Source organism: Homo sapiens, chromosome 7, assembly GCF_000001405.40.
Source record: "Homo sapiens chromosome 7, GRCh38.p14 Primary Assembly".
Taxonomy (NCBI): domain Eukaryota; kingdom Metazoa; phylum Chordata; class Mammalia; order Primates; family Hominidae; genus Homo; species Homo sapiens.
This window is the reverse complement of record NC_000007.14, coordinates 21,008,542-21,032,307: the sequence shown is the minus strand read 5'-3', so window position 1 is coordinate 21,032,307 and position 23,766 is coordinate 21,008,542. Positions and strand designations below refer to the sequence as shown.

The 23,766-nt window shown below is 36.4% G+C and overlaps 1 long non-coding RNA gene across 1 annotated transcript in view, besides 2 other annotated features; it reads right to left on the bottom strand.

Moving 5' to 3' along the window:
* Window positions 1,539-2,269: an enhancer, noted in NCBI's record as "OCT4-NANOG hESC enhancer chr7:21069658-21070388 (GRCh37/hg19 assembly coordinates)". NCBI's record gives its function as "activates a minimal SCP1, AML or CMV promoter by ChIP-STARR-seq in naive and primed H9 embryonic stem cells {active_cell/tissue: H9 hESC(naive and primed)}" and the evidence as "EXISTENCE:reporter gene assay evidence [ECO:0000049][PMID:30033119]".
* LINC01162 (long intergenic non-protein coding RNA 1162) overlaps window positions 9,160-23,766 on the bottom strand; it is a 187,718-nt gene continuing 173,111 nt past the window's right edge. Inside the window, exons 3-6 of the long non-coding RNA NR_126381.1 lie at window positions 11,305-11,440; window positions 10,401-10,449; window positions 10,158-10,251; window positions 9,160-9,176 (exon numbers count right to left, since the gene is read on the bottom strand). This is a non-coding gene — a long non-coding RNA (long intergenic non-protein coding RNA 1162). The remainder of the gene's footprint in view (window positions 9,177-10,157; window positions 10,252-10,400; window positions 10,450-11,304; window positions 11,441-23,766) is intronic.
* Window positions 20,282-21,481: an enhancer, noted in NCBI's record as "P300/CBP strongly-dependent group 1 enhancer chr7:21050446-21051645 (GRCh37/hg19 assembly coordinates)". NCBI's record gives its function as "activates an origin of replication core promoter dependent on BRD2, BRD4, P300/CBP, MED14 and CDK7 cofactors, with strong dependence on P300/CBP, by STARR-seq in HCT116 cells {active_cell/tissue: HCT116}" and the evidence as "EXISTENCE:reporter gene assay evidence [ECO:0000049][PMID:35650434]".

Below are 23,766 nucleotides of genomic sequence, written 5' to 3'. Positions count from 1 at the left end.
TTAGCACAGAAGGGGAGAAGCGCCGCCCCCCAGACACACCCCTTCATACATACATCCCCCACTTCATCCTTTGAAGGATGGCTAGCTGGCTTCCCTCTTATCAGAATATCATGCAAGGAAAGCCAAGTGGTGAAAAAGAATGGCAAGAGAATTTCAATTCTTTTTCTAAAATACTTTAACTTGTACTTGTCTGTGCTGTAAACATATACAACCCCACCAAGGTGAAACATCAAGGATTCAATGGCTGGTTTTTCAGAAAATGTTGACACAATGGCTACATTTTGAGAAATCAAGAGCCTATTTATAAAAAGCACATCAAGCAGCAGATTCAAAGCATGCTCAGTGAAATAGCCAACCTTTTTGCCCTCCCCTGGAGCCCTTTCAGACCAGCCTAGTTTATCAGTGAGCTGAGCTGCCAGGAATATATATATATATATATATATATATATATATATATATATATATATATCAGAGGGTAAAGTAGACAACTTATTTTCATTCAAAAGTAGTCATAGCACAGAAGTAACTCTCACCCTCACTCAACTTATTCTGTCATCCTTAACTTGAGAAAATAACTTATTTTTCTCTCAAAGAAAATACTCTCTGTCACATGTTATAACTAGGCAGGCTTCTGAAGTGCTTTAGAAAAATACTATTCTGAGCATATTCAATGTACAGAGTCCTTAAACAGCTTAATACACATATAGATTACAGAAGATTTAACATATTGCTATTATATACCATTCATTTGGGACAAGACACTTACGAAGTCTGTATTTTGCTGCAATGACACATAAATTCCCAGATATGCTCTTCCACACAAAGAACTGATAAATGTATAATTAATTAAAGTAAATGTTTTAGAAGTTCCTTTAGAAAAGAGAGAAGGCATATGTCAACCAAGTAACACAGGTTTCTACGATATGTTGTGAATTGGCAGCAAAAACTCGAGTGAAAAGGAACGTTCACATCGTGTTCCCTGCAGAATTCCTTGACAGTGTGAGCACAGAGACTCAATTGTCCTCTGACATCTATGCTTTGATACTTCAGAGTCCCATTCTGGGTGGTACCATCATATAAAAGATCCACCTCATGTCAAAGCATGACTAAGTTAGAATTTCCAAAAATACTTCCCTTTCCCCCCTAATTTTCTAATTTTATGAATATGTCTACAAAAAAGAAAACTAAAAAATGTTTGAAAATGTATGAAATTATTGTAGTTGCTGATGACAAAGTGGAATATTGCCTTATTTGTTATTTCTCCAGGATGATAGCTTGTATTCCAGGAACTGGATGGTACCCACTATTTCCTGAATGTCCATGTGATATCAGAATAATCTGGATCTACAACTGCATAATTTCTGTCCAGTTGCATGCATTGAATAGATACCTTTTACATTATGCATCCATACCAGGTACCCCATAGAAATATGATATTTTAAAAAGTAAGGTTGGCTGTCAGTTTTCAAAGAAAAGATTTTAAAACCTTCTGCTTCAAAGAAGAGTGTAAACCTTTGGAAGACTGGTATCTTTTAGAAACCATGAAGTCTAAGAAAGAAAAAAAATACAACTATTAAAATGCACATACACTGCTGGCTGGCACTGTTGTGACAGCCAGCAGTATCAGCGTCAGTCAATTATCTTCACAAATGCCTCTTGTGCTAATGAGCACTCACAAAAATCAGCAGACTTTTCTGGCAAGGAGAAAAGATCAGTTTCATTGCTTGCAGAACTAATTCAGGGTACAAAAGTGAAGGCTCCGCCATCGCTGCCTCTTTTACTGCTCCTTTTGTAAAGGCTTTTGATGTGCACTGAAGAGTTGGGCCTGTGTTTGGGCCTCTCCATCTCCAGTTCATTGCCTGCCATTAACATACATATCCATATGAAAAGTTCGCTAAGTCACTAACAGCTGTCCAGAAAAGAGTTTGAGACGGAAGGCGAAAAAGGACCTATTCCTTCTCAAAATGCTGACAATACTATTTAGCCCCTTTTTGGCAATGATATACCTTACTTTTTAAAGCCGCCTTTCACTCAAAAAGGGACTAGGCATAATACAACATTCAAACACATAGTGATTTTCATTTTGAAACAGTCATTTGCTGTATTCAGAGGAAAAAAAGTCTATAGTTACCAGATGCAAAGGAAATCCATCATTCAGGATACATATGTATATGGCAGACACACATACACACACACACACACACACACACACACACACGCTCATTCTACATAGTTTTTGCAGGACATTAAATAACCTCACATCTTCCATTTAACCCAGAGGAAAACCCCCTGCAGCAGATGCTCATGAGTGGTTTTATGCCCATTGCCTTCTTCAATTTATGGGACTAACAGTTATCTATGGTCGATTTGTTATCAATGGATAGTATGTTACTGAAAAAAATACTATCAGAACTGTGCCATAAATTTTTAAAATTTTTTGTAATACTTTCTCCATAGAGGGGTTGATTAAAAAAATCTCCTTTCAGGAAAAAAAAAAAAAAGACAAACTGTAGACATTTGTAGATCATGGTTTTGAAATAGGGGATTTGTATTATACATTTTCAAGTTTGAAAATACCGTTCCAGATAGCTACAGTATTGGAAAATTTTGCCGTAACATCCATGGTAAATATTTTCTAAAGAAAGTGATAAGGATCAGCAAATACTCATCTTACAAGAGGGAAATAGTTAACTTTCCTTTAAGAAGATGCTTAGGCCAGAGAGGTAAGAAATAAACAGATTTTAAATAGATCAAAAGGGGTGCTTCCCAATCATTTGGTCTGGGGCTTAGTTTTGTCAAACTCAGAAAGAAAGCATGTGATGGATAAATGCTTTTCCTCCCAACCCCGGGAGTTCATGACCCTGAGGCCATCTCACCGCACATATTGCACCCAACTAGGCCTGAGCTTGAAAATGAGGGGAGGCGAATCTGTCAATTACCGAGGTTTAACATTGTTTACAAGAAGGACATTTTTTCTTTCTCTTTCTCTTTCCCTTCCTTCCTTTCTTTCTTCTTTCTAAATCAGAATCAAAATGCTAAGGGAAATCGACTAGCTCCCAATTCCGTAAAGATTTTATTCCTGTAAGGATCCTCCCACCATGCAAAAACAGCTTGTGCTGTATAAAAACCAAGACTGTAATCCACTTGTTGCTTTCCCCGCCCTTTCCCCCGCAGTTTCTGGTCTCTTGACAGCAGCATCTCTCCCAGATCAGTCACTAAAAATCTTTAACTTTGCCTATTTTGATCTGAAAATTAAAGCTTATTTATTATGCATCCTGTTTGTTGTCCTTGAAGAACCCCAGCATTCATTTAAAGGGGTCCAGAATGACTTCTTAAACACATTTCTCTCTTTGCTGCAATTAAACAAAGTGGAGCTGTGATTAGTCCTCCACAGGGGGGAAAGAAAAAGACACCCTTGAATCAAAATGCGGGGACCTGGCTGGGCATTATTGCCTCACAATGCAGGAGTTTATTGCTGAAACCTGCTTATCCCAGAGCTCTGCACTCCATGGGAACTTCAGTCAGGTGGAAAGTTATTCTCTTCTCTGCAGCTTGAAGTATCGTAAGACCCGCTAAAACCCCTAAAGCTCTTCCTAGTAACTGAGACATTTAGGATAATCTTTATGAGAGTTTTGCATGAGCTTCTGCTTTTTGTGCACTTAGAAGGAGAGTTAATGATGAGCTTTCACTGGCTTCTCCCTTTATTTTTTATCTATTTATTTTTAAATCTAAGCCAAAAAGCGCCTGTTTAAGTTAAGTACCACCTCCCTCCAGCCCTTGGGAAACCACTCAAGAGGGCTTTGCTTGGCTCTGTGTTCATGACACATAATGAAAACAATTTTACGCTGTGGAGGGAAGTATTGAGCAATTACTGATGTAACAGCCACCTGCAGTAGCGAGCCCTGGCTGCAGCATGGCGCGGTTCATGAATATTTTATGGTGTGATGTTATTTTGAATGGCCGGGGCAGGTGAAGGAGGCGAGGGTGTAATAAGTAACTCTGCTGGAGGCTGTGTAGCTGCTGTTTCCCCGCCGAGCCCACAGTGGAACACCAAGAAGCATCCTGACCCCGCCTGGATCGAGGCGAGGGCAGCTGAGGCAAGAGGCTATGACAAGTCACGGTGGGCACCCTTTACAAACCCTTGTCTGCCGATTTTACACACGATGTCCGGCTTAAAAAGCCCTGGCATCAATCTTGTCTGATTTAATTTGATAAATTAAGTGTGGATAAGGATTAAATGAGAATTTTGTAATGGAGAAAACTTGTTCTTACTCTTTAATCCAGTTAAGATAGTATGAGAGAAACCCTATAAAATCTAAAGCGGATGCTAGAGAAAGCAAAGTTAAAAAAAAAAAGAGGGAGAGAATTGCCTTTTCACTTTGGTAACATTATGTTCACATAGAAGTTGAATGAATGTGCTACTTTTTTTGTTTCTGGCATTTGCATGTGAAGTACACGCAACCCAGATACACACATACCTACCATCACACGTGTATTTTATGGAGGGCCTAGAAATACAGGAGGGAAATAAGAATTGTAACAAGTTTTATGTAATAAAATATGGCTATTGAGATCATTTATGAATAGGTGGAATATTTTGAGTATCACTTTCTTTTGCAAATGTTATTTTCCAAACAGGAAATGTCAAGATTTAAACTGAGTATCATAGCATAAAGAATACATTTCTAGCATTTCAGACTTGGTGATTCTTCCTGCTGGCATACTTAAGATTTCAGGCACAAAAATCATATTGTATATGACCAAGATATAAACAGTCTAAAAATTATTTTACATGACAGTAATATGTCTATAGAATGGAGCTATATAAAGAAATACTGGTTATCTAGACAGTTGATGGAAATTCAAAACAATGCCATGTAAGACTCCATTAAAATTCTTTTTTTAATTTGTAATTTTTTTAAAAGAATGATAGAGTGTGCTTTTGAGAAAGCGCCTAAGAAGGTTGTACATTAGACTTCAGGCTGATTATCTTTTCCATGGAGAACATGCTTAGAAAAAGATACAAAAGATTTACAGACTCCTTGGGCATAAATTGGCATAGAGAACAGAAATTCTGAACAGAAGCACAGGAGGAAAATGTAGCCGAGTCGACATTCTGAGAATAGTGTGGGGCAATAGAGGAATTGCCAGAGTGACAATTTGAAGATTATAAAAGATACTCTTTAATTTTTTGTAAGCGATAGGTTTATAGGTATGCTCATAACATTTCATAACATTAATTTAGAGCTTGTACCAGAATGAAATAATGTGGGGATATGTTAAAATTTTCACTTTAACATTCACCTTGTAGTAAAATATTGAAGTATCACTCCTTCCAGTGGTTGACAATCCCATCTGCACTTCAAAAATTATAAAATCAGATGCCAAAGATGATAAGTGTGTATACAATCTGGGCATGAGCCACTTTATCAAATGGCAGTACGTTACCTAAATTCTAATATTATTTAGTATTGGCATTATTATCTAATGTGTCCGTTGGAAGAATTATCTCAGCTGGCTTGACTATGCCATTTATTGTCTATACATAAACTACAATGACAGTTCTTTTTAAATATTGATAGTTTTCATTAACAAAGAGGAAACGATGACATCAGATGATCTTGAGAAAACATGTCATTGTGAGCCACCTCTCTCCACAAATTGTTGAATTCAAGAGCAATGCAATAAAATACCAAATAGTGTTAATACCAGTAATAGTGATAGAAATTAACATATATTCAAGAAACTCCAAAATATTTAGTTTAATCTGACTACATGTACTTTTTCTGCTTCATAATATATGTTAAGGTACCCTGATTAACAATTTTATAAAGATCAAATTATAAACATGCAGTAAATTTTAGTTTCTTATAATTAGATTTTTACTTTAAGAGATGTTAAACTCTGTATGTAAACGACATTATTTAAAAGCCACCCTTGTGAAAGAAAATTGCTGTTTGACAATTCTATAGAATATTCAAGAAAGGTAATTACACTGCTCTGGTTGTTAAAGATGCAGGTGTTGAAAAAAGTCACTGTTTCTGCTTTTGCAAAAACTCCAATGAGAAAGAGAAAAGAGACATGATGACATGACTCGATTGCCAAATCTTTATCATCAGAATATTGGTTCGCATTGTCTCCTTCTCCTCTCACAAGTAATACAATAATAATCCAAAAAAAAAAAAAAAAAAAAAAATCCCAGCCAATCCACCAAGGCTGAGCAGCTGTGATGAAAGAAAGCAGATATCTCTTTAAAATTCACAGGGGATCTGTCTGCTGTTTTCAAATCAGATATTGAAATAAAATGTCAACAATAAAACATGGGACCATTTTAAAAAATCAAAGGCTATATAGTAAAAGAGGGACAAAAAATGAACCACAGTAAAAATTTGTCATGATTGACCCAATTTCACAGAAATGCTTAAGTCTTTTTTGCTCATTTATTTACTCAAATACAGTTAACACTCAGATGCAAATGTAATTTTGAAATTACAAATTTAATTAAACCGTGAACTAAATTCTTTAATTCAACTTTTTTTGTCTTATAATATTAAGAAATACTGGACCTTGTGAAGCCCTAAATGTCTGAATTTTATTGAAGAGTAAGACCATTGTCATGGACTGTAGTATTTTAGACACAGAATTTACATGCATGCACATATGTGTGCTCTCACAGGCACAAACACATTCTGAGTGGCCAGTGTTATTGGAATGGATGTTCTCAGGGATATTGAATCCCTTAGCTTGACAGCAACCACAGGGCCTTTTCTGCATTTGAAAATATATAAAGTCTCTGAAAGACATTTATGTCATCATCTTTTTACATCGAATGAGGAAAGAAGTTAACAGATCATGGGTCAATAAAAATTATACTGCAAAAAGATAAGAACACAAAGGTTCTAGCTGTCGGGCACTTCGCTCTCCTCTTGGGCTTTTCCTAGTGCTTTTAGAACAGATGCTAAGTTTCATTTGAATTGAGAAAGAATAGGCAGGTGCCATAGTATTATTTTTTAAAGTCCCCAAACTATTCCCATGTTAAAAAAAAAAAAGTTTAGAAAAGAACAAAAAAGTCACACCACTTTCTCGTACCCCTACTGAAAGGACACCCAATTATTCTCATGTTCTTAAATTTACTGGAGATCGTTTGTCTCTATTCTTGTTCCCATCAGAAGGTTTCCTTTTCTACCTAGTAGCTGAAATCTCATCCCTTGTTTTCTTCTTTCTTCAAGGTCTCCAGGCACTGAGCTCCTCCATCACTTACTGCCTATCCTTTAATTGAATGTACTTACATTCTTACTTAACCCTTTCAAATGTATGCGTAGACTACAGTGCAAACGATGCCTTCCAGAGCTGTGCTGTACAGTAGCCCCTTAATACATGATCTCTGCTCCCTAGCATAAATTCTAGTGTCTTCATGGCAAAGGGTATATTTTTCAGACTCTCAGCCCCTGTCTTGCTTCTTCAGTGCCCTTCCTATACCTGGCAGTCAATGAAAACAAACTCGCCAATTCAGAACTACTCCATTTCTCCCCACTCCATTTTTATATAGCAGCCTAGGTTCACAAAGCGCTTTCTGCAGATAACAGCTACTTAATTCCCTTTAGAACCCTGTCAGAACAGCAGGGAAATATTTTCATCGTGATTGTACACAAGGGAACTGAGGCTCCAGAAGCAGGCACATCTAAAGCTGAACTCTGTCTCCTTGACTGCCAATCCAGTGCTTTTGCTGCTCTTCCACACTGCCTCTCCCTTTGATGCTTGTTTTCACATCGCTGAATAATTAGAATTTGACTTAAAGTTAAGTGAAAAGCGCCTGTGTATTGGTTATGGCAGGGTTTGGGACACTGCTTCTCCTAGGCTCGGGCAGGGAGTCTGAGGCAAATACAGCAAAACAAAACAAAAAACGGCTGCTGCTATATTGCCTTTCTTGAAAACAGGCTGAAGTCAGGGCTGGGCAGGAGGTGGGGAAGGAGGGAATAGGGTGCCCTTGTGGTTGATAGACTGAATGATTTGAGATCCTTTTGAAGCAAGTCGGTCTTAGTATTCCCCAGCTACCTCTTAGTGACACCTATTGCTGAAGAAAAAAAATTGCCATGGGCGCATGTAGGCATAATGGGAATAGCTTTAGACACTGGGTAGTTTACCTCCTCCTGAACAGAAATACTGTCTGACAAACCTGATGGGCAGAAAATTTGAAGCTTGTTCTATAGTACTCTCACAAAGGAAACTGGCTTTCACCTAATGATGAAAACACGTTGGTTATGATTTCTCCTTTGAAGTCCAACTTCCCCAAAACAAGTCTTCAGGAAATAGCATGTAGGTGTCATGAAGTTTTTATTAACCTGTATAGAGCTGTTGGCCCCCAAGGTTTACTCTAAATCTTTTTAAGACAGAGCAGCTGCACCATTTCACGTGAAAAACATCTTTAGTCTACAGTATACCAAAATTCTAGAATATTCTGTCATTTTCTGGGGAATGCAAATTCTATTTCATTTAACTTATCTCACTTTACCTTTACCCTTACTCAATACATCAGCCACAGAGATTATTTGTGTTCTTAAAACATGAAACTGGTTCCTGCCTTAGGGTCCTTGTACTTATTCTTCCCTTCCAAGGGAGTGCTCTTCCCTGAGTGATTTGACTCACACCATCTTTTCATCCAAGTCTTAGCTTGAAAATCACTCCTCACAGAGATGACCATTTATAGTTGTCCCTCAACTGTCGAAACATCTTATTTTAATTTTCTTGTCAATGATGATTATTTGAAATCTTTTTTTACCTTTTTAATGTCTTTTTCCCACTGCCCCAAGACAGTCTTATCTGCTTTTTTGACTGCTGATTCCCAATGCTTAAAACAGTGCCTGTGCCACATACCAGGTACTCAAAGCCATTTGCCGAGTGTATGTTAATGAACTAATAGCTTGAGTGAAGACTTCACAATTAATATTGCATTACCTTGCATTTATTTAGCACTTCACAATTTACAAAATGCACTCACTTATCTCATTCGTCCTCCTGATAATCCTGTGAGATGGGCCAGGAGACATGAACTATGCCCCAAGACACCTGAGGTTCCGAGAGGTTAATGAACCGTGTTTGGTACTGGAGAGCTGATATTGCACCCTACGTTCTCTGATGATCTTGATCTTTCTACTACCCCAGAAGAAAAGATGGACCTAGGAAGAAAAAAAACAGTGGGGTCAATTTTGTCCCAGGTTGTAGGTAAATCAAATACCAATATCCTCTACAATTTTCACTGAAAAACAATACAACAAAATTTGAATGATTAATGGATATAAAAATATGGGGCGTAAGGTGGAGATGGTTAATGAGTACAAAAATACAATTAGAATGAATAAAATCTAGTATTTGACAGCACAATAGGGTGACTATAGCTAACAGTAACTTATCATACATCTTAGGGAAATGAACTAGTGGAATTGGAATGCTCCTAACACAAATAAATTATAAATGTTTGAGGTGATGGATACCACAATCACCCTGATTTGATCATTACATTTTGTATGCCTGTATCAAAACATCACACATACCCCATAAATATGTACAACTATTATGTACCCATAATAATTAAAAATAAAATTTAAAAATAACTTGAATAAATATGTACCCAGACATGATAGATACAGAGAAAGAGAGAGATGATAGATAGGTAGATTCATACTTGACTAAAATCTAGGTTAAATTGACTTCATAGGTATACTTTATTCAATAAATAGCTAAACTTGTATTTGTTGAGTAAATGTTTAATGATTCTCGATTGTATGCTCATTGTTAAGGTTTAATTAGAAGATATAATGTATTAGTCTAGGGCAGAATTTTAAAAGGCACCATAGTAGAACTGCTATAGCTTTAGCAATAGCACATAGCATATTTAGTACAGCATATAGCCATGTTGTACTTGCCAGTCCAGCAAAGGACACTGTTAGTGGGATATCAGGCGTAACATTTCTTAATTTCTGGTGTTATAAAATAATAAAATGTTTAAAAGATAGAAATATAAATTCTAAGATGTTTAATGAAAATTCCTTCTGTATAATAAATAATGTTACGGATTCTTACAGCTGGAAGGAAACTGTAATTTAAACCTCTCATTTTACAAGTGAGGATGCAGATGCTAAAGAGATTAAGTAGTTTACCCAAAGTCAACACTAGATTGATGGTAAGAGGTGAGTCTCCATCTCAGGTATTCTTGTTTCTGTTCCAGTGTTCTTTCACTTCAACAAATTGTGTCTCCAATATGCAAATCAAAGAAGTTTGAATTGAGTCATTATTCAAAAATTAAAAGCTTGGCTCTTTAATGTAAATGTAACCACTCATTTTCTCTTAAAAAGTGATGGATCAATTCTTAATGATGAGCAAACACTTTTACTTCTACTTACCACAACTGTGTTGTATGAAAGGGCATGATTCCCAATTTTTGATGGAAAACTGTAAAGAAAAAGAAACACATCTGTGTCAATCAACACTTCTATTAAATTTCTATTCTATTCCTTCTTAAGATAAAATGTAGCAACTTTGTGGATTCTCTTGAAGCAGAATCCACTGGAAAAGCATTCCAGAATAATGAAGTATTTTAGATACCAAATCAATACTTGCCACATTTGAGTGACACAATGATTAAAAATTCCATTATAAATAAGCAAGAAACATAAAGTATTCTCTAGATAGCAAAGAATGGGTGGGACTTGATACTTCTGTCACCATCCTCCTATATTGTGGGAATTTATAATGCAATAGCCAACACTATGTAAAGCCAGGGAATGTTATTTTTCAGCACCACGTGAGATGCATAATGCCATCTGATCTGATTAAAAAAAGACTATTTAGAGGCAAATGCTATAGCTCAAAATGTTATATAGTATTTGGTGACGGTGGCTAGGTTTATGTCATAAGAATGGGAAAACCCTATTGATTCAGGGAGAAAGATAGTGGAAGATTTTTGTTGTTGTTATAAATTAAGTTACTTCAGACTTCTGACTAAGCAGATTATTGAAGACCAATACATCCAACAGGAGATGATAACCTGGATGTAAAATGAAGAAACCCATAAAGAAAAACTATGATCAGACTCTCGATGCAAGGGTCGCAGCTTTATTTCAATCTATCAGCCAAGGTGAACGTGAAGGACTATAAAGGGAGCCTCGGTCATGATTAGGGGAAGGCACACCCTCAATTATGTAAGGAAACAGCAGCTATCAGTGCAGTTATGTGACATGCATTTCTATTTAATGAGTAGATTTATTTATAGTAGTATATAGTATATTTTCACTGTAAATAACTTACCAACACAGTCACAAATGCCTTCATTTTTGTTAAGAAAATAAAAGATGCAATAAATGTTAAGATATTGACTCAGGGACAACATTTAAGCAGTCTTCAGCCATGGTCTTGCAGAGCCAGTGTGGTCAGATATATTAGCCTGTGGGTTAGAGAGTCAGCATTAATTGGTTTTTTTCCATGTCTGCGGTTTGAGAAGTAGAAAAAGAAATCTGACAAGAAGTTTACAATGAAACTTTAGAATATAAATTAAGTGGCCTTTTTTCGTGTGGCTTTGGGCAGATTAATTAACTCTTTAATCTTTGCTTCTTGCAAGAATTAAATTAGAAGGCAGATTTGCTCTGAGAAGAATCATAGCATCACAGTCGAGAGCACAGGCTTTGGATTAAAATGAAACCACCTTTGATTCTTGTTCAACATTTATGTATTATATGATATTGGGAAAATGATTTAACCTTTTTTTGATGCCTGGCACATATAAGTACTTCAGGCTATTATTAATAAGAATGACAAATCAGTTGTATTAAACATAAATTAATCAGAATTGCATATAAGTCCCAAGGAAATTTGTGAGTTTGTTACTGTAATCAGAGTTAAATAAATGTTTGCTATGAATGACTCATGAAAGAGGTGAGTTTTAGAGCTTTATAGGAGAAAAATGTAAATTTGTCTTTTTTTTTTTTGAGATGGAGTTTCCCTCTTGTTGCCCAAGCTGGAGTGCAATGGCACAATCTCGGCTCACGGCAACCTCTGCCTCCCAGGTTCAAGAGATTCTCTTGCCTCAACCTCCGAAGTAGCTAGGATTATAGGCGCATGCCACCACGCCCGGCTAATTTTTTGTATTTTTAGTGGAAATAGGGTTTCACCATGTTAGCCAGGCTGGTCTTGAACTCCTGACCTCAGGTGATCTGCCTGCCTCTGCCTCCCAAAGTGCTGGTATTACAGGTGTGACCCACCACTCCCAGCCAAATTTGTCATTATTTATAAAAATTATAAATATGCACATTCAACCACAGGACTGTGGAATATTGCAGAAACTACAGCATGAACACATAAAACTATAGTACGGTGATATTCATTGCTGATTATTTGAAGCAGCAAACACTTGGAAAAAATAAATTTCAGTAATGAAAATAGTAATTACTAATTTATTGAGTATTAATTATATTTCAAAATATTGTTGTAAGTCTAAAAAACTTAAGTAATAATTTATTTTTTCACAAAACCCCTATGGACTTTTATTATCATCCCTACTTAATTATAGTCATAATCAATAATTATGTATATTTATATGTACTATCCTAAAATGCTGTTCAAGAAGAAATAAACAAGATTCAAAATCCTATTACACACACATGCACTTGCACACATGCACAAAAATTTCAAATTATATATATATATATATGTATGTAAAAATATAAGTCCGGCTACTGTCACCACTTCTAGTCCACATTTCATGAAACTAAATATATTGCTTTATAGAAAATTATGCCCAAACCTAATAACTTAAGACAACAGCATTTTTTTTATATATCACAATGTTTGTGGGTCAGAAATTTAGACAGGCCTTGGCTGGTTTATTCTTCTATTCCACATGGCATCAACCGAAGCCACTCAATAGTACTCAGCTAGAAGATGGGCAGGTTTGGAGGATACAAGATGGCCCCACTCACATGCCTGGTACCTTGGCAAGGATAGCTGAAATGTTTGGGCTCAGCTGGGACTGTTGACCAGCATGTCTTAAGCTGGCCATGTCCCATGGCTTGGGATTCCTTACAGAATGAAAGTCTCAGAGTAGTTTCATTTCATTTTATTTCATTTAAAATTATGTAACCATTTATTATTAGTCAATTAGGTTACATATAGTTTTGCACCATAGTCAATAACAATTTTGTGCATAATGTTTTGTCTGCATTTTCTATTTTTATTTTTTATGTTTGAGTCATACAAAAGTGGAATTAGTAGGAGATAGGGTATGAATACTTTATTTTTTATGTAGCAGTTCAGGGACCCAACAGGGCAAGGTAAAAGCTGCCAGTTCTAGTAATGCCTATCCCCAAAACTGGCCTGATTTCACCTTTGCCATGTTCTATTGGTCAGTCAAGTATAAAGGCCACTAGTAGATCAAGGGAAGAAAGATCAAGGGAAGAAAGGCAGGAAGAAGAGAATTAGATTCAATTTTTAATTGGTGGTTATTTTTAATTGTCCTGTCCACAGAAAGGCAGAAATAAATCTGTTATTAACTGAATTTGACATTATCATCTGTATAAAGTCCAAAAGATCTACATACAACCTATTGGAATCAAACAAGAAATTTGGCAAGGCCACTAGTAGAAGGGCACTATACAAAAATCAATTGTATTCCTATAAATCAACCAAAAGCATAAAAGATAAAATACTAAAAATATCATCTACAAAAGAATAAAATATATAGAGTACTTGCTAGCAAAACATACTAAGGATATTCTACAGTAAATACTGCAAAATATTATTGTGATAAATTAAAGAATATCTACATAAACGGAAGTATATGCCATGTTGATGAATTGGAAGACTGAATCGTATAAAGATGTCAGTTCTCCTCTGATGGATCTATAGTTTCACTGTAGTCCTAATCACTATCCCAGCAGTATGTGTGTGTGTTTGTGTGTTTGTAATTTGAAAAAGCTGATTCGAAAATGTATGCAACATATAAAGGTTTAAGAATAGCAATTTTGAAGAACATAACTTTAGAACCTGAACTACCATATTTAATAATGACTAACAGACTGGTGTGAGTGCAAGAATAGAAAATAAACCAATGGGGAACAAATTAGAATTCAGAAACAGACCCAAACACATCATGACACCTGATGTTTGACAAAGCTGACACTGCAGTGCATTGGGGAAAGGATAACAATTATTTTTTTCAATAAATGGTGCTAGGTCAATTGGATATCCATTTGAAAACAAATAACTGTTGAACTTTTTATCTCACACAATCCACAAAATTCAATTCTAGTTGGATTGTAGATCTAAATGTGAAAGGTAAAAAAATAAAGCTTTTAGGAGAAAACTTAGGAGCATATGTCATGGCCTTGAAATAGACAAAGATTTCATAAACACCAGCCATAAAAGAAAAAAAGAGTAAGTTGGATTACATTAAAATTAACAACGTCTGTTCATCTAAAGACACTATTATGGGAGAAAAAAAGCAAGCAACAGAGTGGGAGAAATTATTTGCACCACATATATCAGACAAAGGATTTTTACCCAGAATATAAAGTAGTGCTGTGAAATGACAATCAAAAGCAAATAAACCAACATGAAAATGGATAAAATTGAGTGCCATGAAACAAAAGATAACCAAGTACTCACAAGAAAACAGAGAAATGCAGATGTAAACTGCAAGAAGACACCTCTACATGTTTACTAGAATGGCTAAACTTGAAATACAGGCAACAAAAAGTGTAGTAAGGATGCAAGGCAACTGAAAGTAACTTACACACATCTGATGGCACTGTAAATCCATACAACAATGCTGATCAACTATTTGGCAGTATCAACTAAACTGAAGGTATACAGCCATATCTTATTTTATTGTGCTTTGTTTTATTTCAATTCTCAGTTACTGCATTTTCTACAAATTGAAACCTTGTGGCAATCCTGTATTGAGTAGATACATGGTGCCTTTTTTTCAACAACATGTGCTCACTTCATGTCTCTGAGTCACATCTTGGTAATTCTCACAACATTTCAAACTTTTTCATTATTGTTATGTTTGTTATGGTGATCTGTGATCAGTGATCTTCGATGTTAGTATTGTAATAATTTGTGGGTATCACGAACCATTCTCTTATGAGTCTGCAAACTTAATTGATGAATATTATGTGTGTATCTGACTGCTCCACTGACCAGTCATTCTCCCATCTTTCTCCCTCTCCTTGGGCCTCCCTATTTCCTGAGACATAACAATAATGAAACCAAGCCAGTAATAACCCTACAATGGCCTTTAAGTGTCCAAGTGAAAGAAAGAATTGTACATCTCTCACTTTAAATCAAAAGCTAGAAATTATTAAGCTTCACGAGGAAGGCATGTCAAAAGTCAAGACAAACCGAAGGCTAGGCCTCTGGCGCCAATTAGCCAAATTGTGAATGCAAAGGAAAGGTTATTTTTTTCCTTTCTTTAAAAAATTGTTTTAAAAATTGATATATCATAGTTGTACATATTTTTAAGGCAAGTGTGATATTTTGATACATGTATGTAATGTGTAAAAAGTTCCTGAAGGAAACTAAAAGTGCCACTCCAGTGAAAACACAAATGATAGAAAGCAAAACAGCCTTATTCTGATATGCAGAAAGTTTGAGTGATTTGGATAAAAGATCAAACCAGCCACAGCATTATTTTAAGCTAAAGGCTAACCCAGAGCAAGATCCTAACTCTCTTCAATTCTACGAAGGCTGAGAGAGGTGAGAAAGTTGCAGAAAATAAATTTGAAACTATCATGGGTTGGTTCATGAGGTTTAAAGAAAGAAGCCATCTCCATAACAAAAAAAGCGCAAGGTGAAGCAGCAAGTGCTGATGTGGAAGCTGCAGCAAGTTATCCAGAAGATACAGCTAAGATATTTGAAGAAGATAGCTACACTAAACAACAGATTTTTAATGTAAACAAAACACCCTTCTTGGAAGAAGATGCCATCTGGGATTTCATAGCTAGAGAGAAGTCAGAATGTGGCTTCGAAGCTTCAAAGGACAGGCTGACTCTTTAGTGAGGGGCTAATGTGACTGGTGACTTTAAATTGAAGCCAATGCTCATTTATCATTCCAAAAATCCTGGGGCCCTTAAGAACTATGCTAAATCTACTCTGTCTGTGCTCTATAAATGGAACAACAAAGCCTGGATGACAGCACATCGGTTTGCAGCATGGTTTACATAATATTTTAAGCACACTGTTGAGACCTACTGCTCAGAGAAAAAGATTCCTTTCAAAACATTACTGCTCATTGACAATGCTCCTTCTCACCTAAGAGCTCTGATGAAGATGTACAAGGAGATTCATATTGCTTTCATGCCTGTGAATACAGCGTATGTTCTGCAACTCATGAGCCAAGGAGTAATTTTGGCTAATTATGTAAAAACTCCATTTTGTAAGCTGCCATAACGTAGTGATTCCTCTGATGGATCTGGGCAAAGTAAATTGAAAACCTGAAAAGGAGTCACCATTCTAGATGCCATTAAGAACATAAGTCATGGAAGGAGGTCAGAATATCAACGTTCAAAGGAGTTTGGAAGAAGTTGATTCCATCATGGATGAATTCGAGGGGTTTAAGACTTCAGCAGAGGAAGTCCCTGCAGATGTGGTGGAAGTAGCAAGAGAACTGGAATGAGAAGTGAAGGCTGAAGTTGTGACCGAATTGCTTCAATTTCATGATAAAATTTGAAAGAATGAGGAGTTGCTTCTTATAAATGAGGAAATGAAGAGGTTTCTTGAGCTGGAATCTACTCCTGTAAGATGCTGTGAATGTTGTTGAAACGACAACGAAGTATTTAGATTATTATGTAAACTTGGTTGATTAAGTAGTAGCAGTGTTGGAGAGGATTGACTTCAATTTTGAAAGAAGTCCTACTGTAAGTCAAATGCTATTGAACACCATTACATGCTACAGGTAAATATTTCATGAAAAGGAAAAATCCATCGATGTGGCAGACTTTAATGTTGTCTTATTTTTAAAAATTGCCCTAGCCACCCCAACCTTCAGCAACTACCACTTAATCTGTCAGCAGCCATCAACATTTAGGCAAGACACTTCATCAGTGAAAAGCTTATGACCTGCTGAAGTCTCAGATGATCATTAGAATTTTTTAGTAATAAAATATTTTTAAATTAAGTTATGTATATATTTTTTTTAGACAGAATGCTATGGCATACTTAATAGACAACAGTATAGTGTAAACAACATGTACTGGGAAACTAAAAAATTTGTGTGACTCACTTTATTGTGACCTTCACTTTATCATGGTGGTCTGGAACCAAAATCTCAGTATCTCCAAGGTATGCCTGTATATTCCTGTAAAAGCATAACTAACATTTTGTCCTGCTAATGTAATGAATAAGCAATATGTATCACATGACACAGAGAAAACAAAATATTTTCCACCCAGAGATACAGCAAGAATAACAGGCACACCTGTGTAGTTCTGGGCCTCAAAATAAATGAAATCTTGAACATTTCCTAGAGCCCTTGCCTGCCCTGTAAAAATATATTTATTGCTGATTTTGTGATGCTGATATCTGAAGATAGGCCATGATCTTTGGAAACATAATAATCATATAGAAATGTTGCTCTTTTCCCACCATGAATAGATGAATCAATTAATGTAAACTTGGAAATTATGCTGATTTTTTCAAATAGTTTGCTCATTTTTTAATTTTTTTTGAGCCTTCTGGAATGAGTCCTTTGCACTACTTTGCAAATAAACTTTTCTTCTTCAAGTCTGCAAGTCTTCTTTTGACAATCTTAAAACACAATAATCAGCTCCTAGTTCTACACCCAACACATTACATGCATAAGTTTAACAGACATGTATAAGACTATTCACAGCAAACCATGAATAAATGCATGTGGTACATAATGAATAGACTAGACTAAATAAATGAATTGTAGTTTATTTGTTCAATGAAATACTATCCAACATAACAATGAGCATGACACGTTGTTGTAAGGAACAGCTCAGCACACATAAGGTTGACTCAGTGTGTGTCAGTCCTGCTTGTGTGGAAAACAGAAGCCATGTATGTGAAAGAAAAAGTTTCTTTCTGAACAAGTTCCTTAGAATCCTGAGTGACTCCAAAAATCTAGAAAGACTTTGGTCATGGATGATGTGAAAGGGTGGGTGGGGGGGCGGTTAGTAGTGGTGTGAAATGGTTGGAAGAAAGAGAATTACATTTTAATAAGAATAAAAGAGAGTTAAGCTTGTAGAGAGAGGAAGGCAAAGGAGAATCAGCATGTCCAGGCATGGTTTTAGCCTTGCCAAGGCTGATGAGCGATAAATCTTCAGCTACTTTCTTGTCTCTTCTAATCTGGCCCATGATTAAACTGATTAGCTTAATACACTTCCTAAACATTTCATGGATGTAATGTCCTTCAATGATAAGTATGAATATAACTGAAGCAGATTATACAACTGCAGATTTATCTAGCTAGAGTTTCTTAACCATAATATGCAAGTGCATGAATCATCAAATGCCATTTTTAATGATCCAGCTCCTATATACATGGGCACTAGAAATACAGAATAAAACATAAGATTTGGGCCGGGCACAGTGGCTCACGTCTGTGATCCCAGCACTTTGGGAGGCCGAGGCCGGCAGTTCACGAGGTCAAGAGATCAAGACCATCCTGGCCAATATGGTGAAACCCCGTCTCTCCTAAAAGTACAAAAATTAGTTGGGTGTGGTGGCAGGCACCTGTAGTCCCAGATACTCAGGAGGCTGAGGCAGGAGAATCGCTTGAATCCAGGAGGCAGAGGTTGCAGTGAGCCGAGATCGCGCCACTGCACTCCAGCCTGGCGATAGAGTGAGACTGTCTCAAAAACACAAAAACAAAAAACCCATAAGATTTGGTTTCTTTACTCAAAAGAGCTAAAAACATACAACAAGAAATAAAGTTGCCACATATAAAACCAGTGAGTGGGTGTAAAAATGACATTTCAGTGTCTACCTTGTGTTAAGGGCTAACACTCAAGTGTCCAGCAGAGGATCTCAGCTGAAATAAGAGACCATGAGGTGCAGCACCAGGAAGCATCTGTGATAATTTTGTAACAACATCACTGGAACTGCATACATCTTTATGCTACAGTAATATTTAGACCACCTGTGGTATTAAGTGTAAGGTTTTACATAGGTGTGGGAATAATCATTATTTTCCAACATACCTAAGTGGGATACCAGCTTGATGACCTTGAGCAAGAAAGCCTATGGATAATTCTAGATTTTGGAATTCATTTTGACCCAATTACTCTGGCAGCTTTTATATGAAATGGAAGGTCAGTAACACTTAGGATCCTTGGCAAATCTGTTATGGGGAATCCTTCACTGACTGTAACACAGAAAGAAGTTGTGTCCACTGTCTCACTTTAAAAGGAACCACTGAGTTAGCACAAGCCATGAAAATCAAGATGGTGCCAGAAGTATTGAATTTCCAGCTCAAAACCAACGCAGCAATAACCAGAGGTGAAGTCCAGCTTTGAGATGGGCACTTGGGTTTTCATTCCCTTGGCAAGTTGCAAAATTTATGAGGATGGATTCACAAGCATTTGTAACGGCCCCTGGAGGATTCCAGAAATGTTTGGGAAGAGTCACCATGAGAAAAGTCTATGTTCTCTTTCAGTGCAGGGCTTGGAGCATCAAAATTGGAGGAATTCGTCTAAGTGTCACTTCACACATTCACTCAACAAATAATTTATTGAGAATCTGTTCCCGTACCTGGCAGGATTCTAGTCTTTGGGGATATAACAGTGAATAATATAGATAAGGAGCCTGCTTTCAGAGAGATTATATTCTAGTGAAGAGAGAGAGAATATATAAACTTGAAAACAAATGCAAAGGTTACAGAAAATATTAATACTTCTGAAGAAAAATTAAATGGTAATGACATAAGGAGTGCCTGGGTTACACTGAGTCCTTTAGTCAGGGCTGCTGGCCAGGCCACTCTGTGGATCTAAATGGTGAGAAACAGGCAGCAGTATGAAGATTAGGGAAGAAAGAACAACACAGCTTCAAGAAGCCTTGGACTTGTTGGTTACAGTATCATTTACTTGGGGGAATTTACTTGACTCCTTGAGTTTATAGACAACTGTCATAAAGGTTCTTGGGGAAGTCCTATAGTCTCTGATGTATGCTAATGGATGCACTGGAATGGCAGGAGAAAGACAATTAGAGAAATTACGCAGAGTTGGCATTGCTCTTGCACTGATGGCATATCTGAAGACAGCCTATCCAAAGACCTCCACAGGTCTCCCAAGATTTACCTCCACAGGTACATGCAGAGCTAAATTAATCACTGAATCTCTGCAGCTCCAACAGTATATTAATACTCTTTTACCAATGCCCTCACATTGAATGTTACTACAGAGGCTTCACGTTTCAGTGAAAAGACTTGAAATTTTGAAGTTTGAAGACTTGAGTTCAGGTCTGGGTTCTACCTGACAAAATTGAGTAAACTTAGACAAGCTACATAATCTTTCTGGTCTCAGGTACTTTATCTGTAAATCAGAATGATAATACTAAGATCATGGAGTTATTGCAGTGATGACATGAGATCAATGTCTACAAAAAATTGTTTTTCATTGCAAAACATGATGCTAATATTTGCCTTCAGAATGTATTCAACCTGAACCAAATCCAACCACAAGGTGAATTGACTATCTTCTTAAATATCTGCTACACAACAGATATATCTTTTATATCTCTCTTTCCTTAGGAATTGCCAACCAAGAAGAGCTGACTGGTATCTCTAGATGAAGCATCTGACTCTAGCCTCTCTCCAAAAGGACAAATGAACTCTCAGCTTCTCGCTGGGTTTATCCAGTGCGTCATGTGCAAGGTCAGGGCATGAATCCATTCAGCCTAAAGCAATTCATGTTAGAAATATTTGAGCCACACCTGTGTTCATTCACCTTAGCTTCCGACAGAGCCCGTGGCCATTCCTGACTCATACTTCCATGTCTTCAAGTGAGAGGGAGGACTACAGTGGAATGTTACCTGTGACAGTGGCCAAGGACCACAGCAATTCAGATCTACTTACTGATAAATAGGAACAGTGGGTCATACTTTTCTGATCTACTATCTTCCTCTGTGGTTTCTTTTTTCTTTTTAAAAAAATATTTGAGTTATACCTTTCCAAAAAATTAAATCACAGGGCTACCCACCTCTGAAAGCAAGGAAGCCTTCCCTTTTTAGTATGAAGCAATTGAAATGCAAAAAAAGGAACATCCACAGAAGGCTTAAACCAAGTATGACAGGAAGCTGTGATTTCTAGGCCACATGTGGCTTGCCTGGCTTTTCAGTAAGACTCATGATCTATTTTTTTTTAATTTGCAAAGATTTTTAGTTAGATATATATATTAAATTTTTTAAATACTTTGGATACATAATAATTGTACATATTTATGGAGTACATATGATATTTTGATACATGCATACAATATGTAATGATCAAATCACGATATTTAGGATATCCATCACCTCAAATGTTAAGCATTTCTTCTTGATGGGCACATTTTAAATCTTCTCTTCTAGCCGTTTTGAAATATACAATAAATTATTTTCAACTATAGTCACTCTACTGTGCTGTTAAACACTAGAAGCTATTTCTGCCATCTAACTCTATGAGTTACCCATGAACCAACCTCTCTTCATCCTCCCCCTCAACCCTTCCCAGCTTCTGGTATCTATTATTCTATTCTCTGTCTCTATGAGATCAAGTTTTTTAGCTCCCACACATGAGCGAGAACTTGCAGTATTTGTCTTTCTGTGGCTGGCTTACTTCACTCAACATAATGACCTCCACTTCCATCCATGTTGCTGCAAATGACAGGATTTCATTATTTTTTATAGCTCAGTAGTATTCCAAAGTGTGTATATGTATATACCACATTTTCTCTATGCATTGATGGAAAGTTTGGTTGATTCCATATCTTAGCTATTGTGAATAGTGTTGCAATAAACATGGGGTGTAGGTATTCCTTTCATATACTGATTTGTTTTTCCTTTGGATAAATATGCAGTAGTGAGATTGCTCAATCATATTGTAGTTCTATTTGTAGTTATTTTGAGAATCTCCATACTGTTTTCCATAATGTCTGTACTAACTTACATTCCCACCAACGGTGTATAATCTTCACATCCTCACCAACATTTGTTCTTTTTTGTCTTTTGATTGTAGCCATTCTCAGGTGAGATGATATTTCATTGTAGATTTGATTTGCATTTTCTTGAAGATTAATAATGTTGAGTATTTTTTCATATACTTGTTGGTCATTTGTATGTCTTCTTTTGAGAGGTGTCTATTCAGGGATTTTGCTTATTTAAAAATCAGATCATTATTATTATTGCTATCGAGCTGCTTGAGTTCCTCTTACATTTTGGGTATTAGTCGTTTGTCAGATGAATAGTTTGCAAATATTTTCTCCCATTCTGTAGGTTGTCACTTTGCTCTGTTGATTGTTTCCTTTGCCATGCAGGTTTTCAGTGTAATGTAGTATCATTTGTCAATTTTTGTTTGTGTTACCTGTGCTTTTGAAGTCTTAGACATACAATCTCTGCCTAATGTCCTGAAATGTCTCCCATGTTTTATTCTAATAAAATAAAGTTTTATAGTTTCACCTCTTACGTTTAAGTCTTTAATCCATTTTGAATTGATTATTTTATATGATGACAGATAAGGGTCTAGTTTCATTCTTCTGCATATGGATATCCAGCACCATTTTCCCAGCACCGTTTATTGAAGACACTGGCTCCTTCCCAATGTATGTTCTTGGCAACTTTGTCAAAATCAGTCACCTGTAAATACATGGATTTATTTCTAGGATTTCTATGCTGTTCCTTTGGACTTTGTGCCTGTTTTTATGCCAATACCATGCTGTCTTGGTTACTATATCTTTGTAATATATTGTGAAGTTAGGTAGTGTGATGCCTCCAGTTTTGATCTCTTTGCTCAGTATTGCTTTGGCTATTCAGAGTATTTTGTTTTCATGCAAATTTTAGAATTATTTTTTCTATTTATGTGAAGAATGTCATTGGAATTTTGACAGAAATTGAATTGAATCTATAAATTGCTTTGGGTAGTATGGTCATTTTGATCATAGTAATTCTTCCATTCTATGAGTATGGGATGTTTTTCCATTTGTTTGTGTCCTCTTCAATTTTTTTGAGACAGAGTCTTGCTCTGCTGCCTAGGCTGGAGTGCAGTGGCACAAACACAGTTTACTGTAGCCTCGACCTGTTGGGCCCAAGGTGGGCCCAGCCTTCTGAGTAGCTGGGACTACAGGCATGCACCACCACACCTGGCTAATTTTTTTGGATTTTGTAGAGATGGGATCTTGCTATATTGCCCAGGCTGGTCACAAACTCCTGGCCTCCAACAATCCTCCTACCTTAGCCTTCAAAAGTTCTGGGATTACAGGCATCAGCCACTGCACCTGGCCAGTCTTCAGTGTATTTTATCAATGTTTTTCCTGTATAGGGCTTTTACCTGCTTGGTTAAATTTATTCCTAAGTATTTTTTGTGTGTGACAGCTATTGTAAATTGGATTATGTTCTTGATTTCTTTTTCAGCTAGTTTATTATTAATATGTGAAAACACTACTGATTTTTATATGTTGATTGTATATCCTCCAAAATTACTGAATTTGCTTATCAACATTACTGAATTTGCTTTAGAGTTTTTGGGTGGAGTCTTTAGGTTTTTCTATATATAGGATTATG